This window comes from Homo sapiens, chromosome 3 (assembly GCF_000001405.40).
Source record: "Homo sapiens chromosome 3, GRCh38.p14 Primary Assembly".
Lineage (NCBI taxonomy): Eukaryota > Metazoa > Chordata > Mammalia > Primates > Hominidae > Homo > Homo sapiens.
In genome coordinates, this window is record NC_000003.12 from 194,269,903 (window position 1) to 194,278,244 (window position 8,342).

Here is an 8,342-nt window from a genome sequence, read left to right on the forward strand (position 1 = left end):
ATCCCTGGCGGTGCCGACTGCTCCTGCTAGTGGGGAAGGAAGCTCCTCCCGGCACCAGGACCGAGCGCCTCCACCAGGCCTGCTAGAGGATCACACCTCCATCTCACCATAGAGCCCCCCACAGCCGAAAAAGCCCTCCCACATCCAGTTCCCCCAGACACTTGGTGGCTTTTCAGGAGACACGGTTCTAACACCCATTTCACAGAGAAGAGCACTGAGTCCGTCTCTGGCCGTGAGGCTATGGCAGGGCTGGGACTGGAAGCAGGGCCTTTCATTTGACTTCTTGTAGGTTTCTTCCGGGGCACCACTTTGTTTTTGTTTTTGTTTTTGTTTTTTGTTTTGTTTTGTTGAGATGGAGCTTCACTCTTGTGGCCCAGGCTGGAGTGCAGTGGTGCCATCTCGGCTCACTGCAAGCTCCACCTCCGGGGTTCAAGCGATTCTCCTGCCTCAGACTCCCGAGTAGCTGGGATTACAGGCGCCCGCCACCACGCCCGGCTCTTTTTTTTTTTTTTGTATTTTTAGTGAGACGGGGTTTCACTATGTTAGCCAGGGTGGTGTCGAGCTCCTGACATCAGATGATCCACCCACCTCGGCCTCCCAAAGTGCTGGGATTACAGGTGTGAGCCACCGTGCCGTGCCCAGGGCACCACTTTGAAAACTGGCATAGAGGAAGAAATGGCCACCTTCTCACCCATTGCCCACCCCTTTCCGCCTCCACCCCTCACACAAGCCTGACACCACCTTGACAAGAGGACTGCTTCATTTCATTGCCCTGGGTCGCTAGAGCCTAGTGCCCCAGGGTGTGTTGACTGGCTCGCTCCTTTCCTGCCGGATCATCCTGCTTCTTCAAGCTCCACCCATCTCAGGATCAGCCTTCCCTTCCAACCGCAGGCCTGACCCCACTGCTCTACAGGAGGAAAAGGCGCTCTGCGCTTTGTGGCCGGATCCGGGGTTCAGCAAGTCTCATCCTGGAGCTACCTCCATCAGAGTCAAGCTGTGCAGAGGCCCGGGGCAGCTCAGATGCTTGGGTGGGGGTGGCGAGGCACGGCTCCTGCCCTGTCAACAGAACCCGCAGAGGTCTTCAGGCTGCCCCCTTGAGAGCAGACTCTGTCACCCCTGCCCTGGCAAAGACCAATTGGAGAGAAGCCATTTTGGAGCCAGTCACTCATTAAGGAGGGGGAGGTGACCCTTGCCCTGCCTTCTTCCCTGAAAACAAAGTCCTTCCTTTGAGCTCTCCAGAGGCTGGCCTCCTGCACTGAATGCAGCCACAAGCAGCCCCCAGGGAGCCCCAGGTCCTGGGGACAGGCCCCAGAGGCCTGGCTTGGAGACCCTGGCTTGGAGGCTCTCCCAGGCCTTGGAGCCTGCTCTCTTCCCTGGGATAGAGGGGAGGGCCTGCCACCCGCCACCCGCCTCCTGGATCCTGTCATGGGACAGAGCTGGGCCTGAGCTCAAGGACAGAACAGGCAGACAGTGATCTGTGTTTTCTGGGAAGACAGCCAGTCCTCGTGCCCTCAGGCTTCCGGGCACTGAGGAGTATGGCCGAGCAGTCACCCGCCGCCCTGGCTCAGCCCCCTCCAGGCCCAGGCTGGGTGGGCACACCCCGTCCCTGGTATCCAGGCCAGAGAGCTGCAGCAGGAGGGGCCATCACGCTGCTCTCTCTCCCTCGCCTGTGGCTTCATAAACTAAACAGTACAGCATCAAGGGGAGCGGGCATGCAGGCTGAGCTCTGAGCCGTGCCAGCCTGTGCCCCAGGACACACAGAGGCATCGTTTGGTGGGTGCACCCTGAGCATGTCTCATCCTTTCCCCCTCAACGAGGCTGAGCTGCTCAAGGGCATGGGAAAAGCACTAATTTGGCCTCAAAACAGCATTGGGTTCCAGTTCCTGGGCAGTGCTGCCATCCACCCGTGGGACCATGGCGAGTCATTTCATCCCCTGAGCCTGTTTTTTCAGCTGCGCCGTGGGGCAGTAACCTCCGCTGTGCCCCTTCCTAGTTGCTCAGTCTTATGGTGTCAGGCAGCTGTGAGAGTACCGAAGCCATGATACTCCCACGAGAACTTCTCCCTACTTTTTTTTTTTTCTTTTTTTTGAGACGGAGTCTCACTTTGTCTCCCAGGCTGGAGTGCAATGGTGTGATCTTGGCTCACTGCAACCTCCCCCTCCCAAGTTCAAATGATTCTCCTGCCTCAGCCTCCCGAGTAGCTAGGATTACAGGCACCCGCCACCATGCCCGGCTAATTTTTTGTATTTTTGTAGAGACAGGGTTTCAACATGTTGGCCAGGCTGGTCTCGAACTCCTAACCTCAGGTATCTGCCCGCCTCGGCCTCCTAAAGTGCTGGGATTACAGGCATGAGCCACCACGCCCAGCCTCTCCCTACTAGGGTTTCATAAAATCTTATTGACCTGGTTTCATAATTCAATTTCACATATGAGGAGAAATGAAGGCCAGGGAGGGTGTAAGTCACTGGCCCGCAGATTGGAGCTGTCCTCAGGCATCCCTGGAGGCCCAACGAGCAGCCCGGCCAGGCCCGTTGTGGTTGACAGAGTTGGTGTCTGCCCACCCGAGGGCAGGACAAGTGGATGACCCCGAGCAGAGCCCCAGTAGGGAGCTGTAGGGGGCCTGGAGCTCACCTCTCATTCTCTTACTTAATGGAGAGAACTGCCCACCGCTCAGAGGAAGCGAGGCACTCTCCTGTCCCGCTCTCCCTGTGGGCTACTCAGAGCAAACCGAGGGAACCATGTTTCTAGGAAAGTAAATGGAGCTTGGATAGAATGGGGAAGGGGGTCAAAACCAGGTGCAGGAGAACCGTGTCAGGTGGTTCAACCCTGATGGTGAGAACTATCTTCCAATAGCCAAGGGCAGTCCTACAAGAAGGGATTGGACTCTATCTGACCCCAAAGGGTCTGATGAGGGCCCTAGAGCAAACGTCTATGGAGGGCAGATTTTGACTGCTATAGGAACTTTCCAACAGAGGACGGACTGATCCTTGGCCGGCACACCTCCGGTCACTAGAAGTGTCCGTGCTAGATTGGACACACATGGTTGTGGGGAGGTGATTCTGGAAAGGAGATCACGAGTTAAGGATATCAGAGGATCCTCCCACTTCCTGGAGATTCCAGGCTTCTCTGTTCACCGCGGGCTGTGAGGTTATCCCTGGTATTAATTAGCAAGTGCTGCCTAAGAGGGTTATTTAGAACATAAGTGCTTGGCCAGAGCGTCTGCTGGTGCCGCCCCAAGCGCTACACATCTTGTACACATTATCGACATGTAGGAGCGGCCTGGGCGTCCATCAGGACAGGCAGTTTAATGGGTTATACATGGTTCTGTTCCCACGTAACTTTCTGCGTATGCAAAAAAAAAAAAAAAAAGCATCTCTTTACCCTCGCTAAGAGCCCACGGGGGCGCCTCACACTTACTGCCACGAAGTAAGCATGTGACCTTTGCAGTGCCAGGAAAAACAAGTCCGAGCAAGAAAACAACCCACCCTGAAATGCGGTGGGCCGACTGCTTAGGGCTGGGTGGTCCCCCAGCTGCCACACACGAGTTTGATGCGTGGCGTTCACCGGCCAAAATCCACACCCTAGCCACCCGAGGCAGGAGGGGAGGAAAGTGCCAGGCAGTGGCCCGTACCTAGGGAGGCTGCCGTCACTCTTGAGGCTGGAACTGCAAAGCTGCGTGCAGCTCCCTGCCTGTCCAGCCACCCCATCGGCCTGGAGCTAGGCCAGCAGGCGGCCAGCTGTGGACTGGCTGCAGGTGTGAGGAAAACCAGCAACCAAGTGTCAGGAGGGTGGAGGAGCAGCCTTCATCTTAAAAGGGGGCCCAGCCCAGGCCCCCAGGAAAATGCAGCTCTAAATGACAGGGTGCTGGGCTCCTTCAGGCAAATTAATGTCATCAGACCAGGTTACATTTCATCCTGTTTTCATCTGAACCACAATGGATGTGCATGGGAAGGGCTGCAGGTGCTCAGATGTCACCCGGAAGAAGTGAAGGACAGTATCTCACAGGACCTAGAAAACAAGAGCGGGAGAGCATCGTGCCCAAGGCCTGTCCTGGGACAAATCAGTGGCAGAACTAGATCTAGAGCCACGTCTCCAGAGTCCCCATTCACTTTCACCAAGCTCCATGCCACCTGAATGACAGGTTGGAGGAGGTAAGCCCAATCTGATACCTGCTGCTTCTGGGACCCACCTGACGTGGTTCTCTCTCTCCTCCCTCTTCAGACCTTGGAGCCAGTGCTGTGCCCTCTGCCTGGGATGCTCTTCATGTCTCTGCAGCCAGCTCCTCGGAGCATCTCCACCTCCGCTCAGATGTTGCCTCCTCCAGGAGGCCTTTCCTGACTGAGCTCTCTCTGCATCACTGCCTCAAGCTAATTTTCTTTAGAGCACTCTCTGATGTCTTCTTGTTTGTTTCTGTGTGTGTTTCATCTGTCTCCTTACCTGAAAATTTAAGTACCAGGAAAGCAGGCACCAATAGGAGCTCAACAAATAGAATATAGTTGAATGACCAAAAGAGAATTTCATGTTGAATTGCCAGCGGCCCAGAGTGCATGGGGATTATGAATATTGGTGGAGATATTTTTAAACCTTACATTTTGAACCATGCGAGGTTCTCCCTCTGGTGACTCACAAGGTCCCTGCCGGCACCTCCAGGCTTTGTGCTCACAGATCCTGAGACTTCACAGGGAAAAGAGGACAAAAGTGGTTTCCTGGTCCCTTAAAGAGCCAATGGGATTTTCTGAGAAGAACCTTTCTTTGTTTTCCTTCTCACTCAAGAGAGAGGGTTCACAGCCTGCTCTCCCCTCCCTCCCGCCTCCCATAATTGCTTCCCTCCCTTCTTCTTCCATCCTGAGTATTTGTCATTCTCTGCTTGTGGCAAATTGCTTTTCACCTTTGAAAACCAAGAATGGTTGCTACCCAAGACAGCCTGGAAGTTTTTTGCAAGCAGGGAGGTGTTTAGCAATAGAAGACACTGTTGATGACTCTCCCCAGCTGTGGCATCACTGAAATTCAATTTACTAAGCATTTATGGACAGCCTATGAGATGGGTACTGTGGGGGATAGCCTGGTGATGCAGAGGTGGGTCTTGCCTCTTAGGGACTCTCAGGCCAGTAAGAAAGAGATCATTTTTACTCAAGAGATGTTTTATTAAGTGCTTGCTAAAGGCCAAATACTGGTAGGCCTACAGTGAATGAGGATTCGCCTTGCCCTCAAGGAGTTCATTGTCATGTGAAGAAGGAGAAATTACTGACAATTTCAAACTTCAGTTTTACATTCTGTGAAGGGAGACATGCAGATGAAAGGAGAGAGTGGCAGGGAGCTAAGGGAGCAGACGGGAAGTTCAGCTGCACGGAGAGGTGGGAGCTAGGCAGGACGAGGGGGGTTGGTCATTAGTGGGAAGGGGCATCAGGCAGAGAAACGCCAGACTCCTATTACATCTTCCACTGTGCGGGGCAGAGGTGGGAATGAGCTTGCTTGGTCCAAGGACTGAAAGGAGATTTGTGTGGCTGGAGAGGAGGGAGGAAGTGGACAGCATGAGCCAAGCCAAGGCTGCAGAGGCTGGCAAGGGAAACACCGAGGCCAGGAGGCCAGGAGAAGGTTTGCAGAATGGTTAGTGTTCAATCGCAACAAAAAGCCAAGGGGGCGGTGAAAGACAAGGCTAAAATATCTGTTAGGCCCAAGATCACGCCAGCAAGGGGAGTCCAGGGACCCTGGGGCTGAAGGGGGAAGGCTGTCGGTGCGGACCCCAGTCTAGAGGCTGTTGCAGAATAAGTGATAAATGACAAGGGCCACAGCAGAGTGGCAGGGGTGGGGTGGGGATAGCGTGGGGGTAGTGTGGGGGTGGGGGTGGGGTGGGGGTAGGGTGGGGGTGGGGTGTCATTGGCAACTACAATAATAGTAACACCATGGTCTTTCCGCTTCCCCCTTCCACCACATGAAGCCCCTGTTTCAAATGCCCTCTCAGACCCCTCCCCAGGTCTTCCCGACTCCCCTCCTCTTTCCGCTCCCCACTGGAGATGCTGCCAGGAAAACAGAGGTCCTGGAGAATACGTTCACTCGGCTACAGGGAGAGGAGGAGGCTGAGAAGCCGGAACAACCAGCTCATCCTGAAAGCAGAGGCCCATGAGGCCCCTTTGTGACCCAAAAGATTCCCACCCTGAATGAGTCTGAGCACACACACGTGTGACCCCACACACACACACTCATTCACTCACTCATAGCCCAGAACTTGCCCCTTATTATTTTACCTGAAATTTCAGCATCTGGAAATTAACTGGAATAAGAAAATCCTTTCCAATAAATGCCCATCCTGACTCGTGCCTTAGAAAGGAATGGTCTGGCTGGGCGTGGTGGCTCACGCCTGTAATCCCAGCACTTTGAGAGGCTGAGGTGGGCAGACCACTTGAGGTCGGGAGATAGAGACCAGCCTGGCCAACATGGTGAAACCCCATCTCTACTAAAAATACAAAAAAAAAAAAATAGCTGGGTGTGGTGTTGGGTGCCTGTGATCCCAGCTACTCTGGAGTCTGAGGCAGGAGAATTCCTTGAACCTGGGAGGCAGAGGTTGCAGTGAGCCGAGATCCTGCCATTGCACTCCAGCCTGGGTGACAGAGTGAGACTCTGTCTCAAAAAGAAAAGAAGAGAAGAGAAAAGAAAAGAAAAAAAAAGGGAGGGAGGGGAGGGAAAGGAGGAGACCCTTGGGAACGGGGAAGTGGAGAAGCCAGGCCCCAGGGTCCTTTGGCATGATCATGAAATATCTTTTTTCTTTGAGAAATGCAGCCCCTGGCTCCAATCAGCTAATTTTCAAACCTTTGATCCATTGATCCATTGGGCAGTCTGGGCTTGCTTGGTTCTTGGTTCAGTGACAGACAGCAGAGGGTGAGAGAAATGGCACAGGGCTGAGAGCCATGAAGTCACTGGGTGAGTCCCTTCCCCTTGCCAGGCCTCAGTTTCCCAGTCTGTAAAATAAGGGGGTTGGAAGGGCTGACTCTAGGGCTGACTCTGACCTTTTCTCTCCAGGCATAGGTGAACGGTGTGACCACACCAGGCCAGGGAAGAAACACGTGCCCAGCCTGCCATCTGCCCTCCTGTCTTGGAGCCAGGTCTTTCCACCAGCTTCCTTCATCTTTTAACACTTGGTGAAAAGGAATGACACGTCAGTCAAAGCCCCTGGCCGGTGCTCATGGAGCATCTGGCAGGAGGAAGCCCCTTCCTGGCTGGCCTCCCATTCATCAGTCAGCGCCGCAGGCTGGGCCAGGTAAGGTTTCAGTGGCTGCTGATGGCGGCTGCCCGGCAAGGGTTCTGGCCAAGTCCGCCCCCTCGTTCCTTTCTAACTGGGCTTTGGGAAGTTTTCAGGACTTCCCAACTCGGCAGCATGCCCACTGCCACAGTCCCCACCCACCCTGCAACATGAGGAAGGCACAGAAGCCCAAGCCAGGCAGAGCAGTGCTCCCTGCATCACCCACAGGCAGCCCGGGGAGCGCGGGCCTCCCGAGAGCCAGCCCAGGCCTGGATGGCCCACTGGGGAGGGCAAGGAGGGGAAGAGGGGAAGGGAGGCTGTGCCAAGGGCTGTGCCTGTGTTTCAGGGACAGCTGTGGAACCTGAGCTGGGAGGCAGCTGTGAAAGGCAAGAAACAAGGAAAGGGGACAGAAGTCACCCGGTCGGTGAGCCAGCTCGGAGGCAGGCAGAGAAAGCAAGAGAAGGGGCCTCTCCTGCCGTCATCCTAACCTCCCAGGTCCTCCCCAAAGGCTCCCAGCCCTTCCCCAGACACTCCCCAGTCTCCTCCCTGTCCCCACCACCATCCCTCTGGCCCTGATTTACAGCTGGGCAGTCACGGGACAGATTCTGGTTAAGCCTCAGAAACATACACCCAGCAAGGGGTTTGGATTTTCTCCTTCCTACCCTCCCTCGAGACTCTTCCGTGGAGGAGGAAGAGAAGCAGATCCAGCCTGGAGAAGCCAGGCCCCGAGGCCCTCTGGCACCCTGACTCCAGCACCCTGGTCTAACATGCAGTAGGAGAAATGAGGTCTGGAAGGGTGAACAGGCAGCCGGCCCCCCATGAGGCCTTGACCTCAGGCCCCGGCTGGGTTGGCAACAGCTCTTCTTGGCTCAGACAGGCTCCCTTGGAAACAAACCTCTGTTACTCACTTCTTTCCTCTAGTTGGCTGACAAGGGAGCCGAAGCTGTTGGCTCAAATCTTTTTTTTTCTTTTTAACCTCTCCTCCATTTTTTTTTCTGCTGCTAAAAAATTTGTTTTGCAAGATATAGTATAAGGCTCTTTTACTTCTTGAAGTTTCTTTAAGAAAATAATGGTGCTTACAAGAAAATTGTGATGACTCCCGGCG

At 54.6% G+C, this 8,342-nt stretch overlaps 1 long non-coding RNA gene across 1 annotated transcript, besides 2 other annotated features; it reads left to right on the top strand.

The window, feature by feature from the left end:
• Nucleotides 1,144-2,075: an enhancer, noted in NCBI's record as "H3K27ac-H3K4me1 hESC enhancer chr3:193988835-193989766 (GRCh37/hg19 assembly coordinates)". NCBI's record gives its function as "activates a minimal SCP1, AML or CMV promoter by ChIP-STARR-seq in primed H9 embryonic stem cells {active_cell/tissue: H9 hESC(primed)}" and the evidence as "EXISTENCE:reporter gene assay evidence [ECO:0000049][PMID:30033119]".
• Nucleotides 6,747-7,946: an enhancer, noted in NCBI's record as "MED14-independent group 3 enhancer chr3:193994438-193995637 (GRCh37/hg19 assembly coordinates)". NCBI's record gives its function as "activates an origin of replication core promoter dependent on BRD2, BRD4, P300/CBP and CDK7 cofactors, and independent of MED14, by STARR-seq in HCT116 cells {active_cell/tissue: HCT116}" and the evidence as "EXISTENCE:reporter gene assay evidence [ECO:0000049][PMID:35650434]".
• Nucleotides 6,818-8,257, top strand: LINC02048 (long intergenic non-protein coding RNA 2048). The gene is made up of 3 exons (NR_183751.1): nucleotides 6,818-6,918; nucleotides 7,018-7,255; nucleotides 7,584-8,257. It is a non-coding gene; the product is annotated as a long intergenic non-protein coding RNA 2048 (long non-coding RNA).
• Nucleotides 8,258-8,342: the final 85 nt, after the last annotated feature.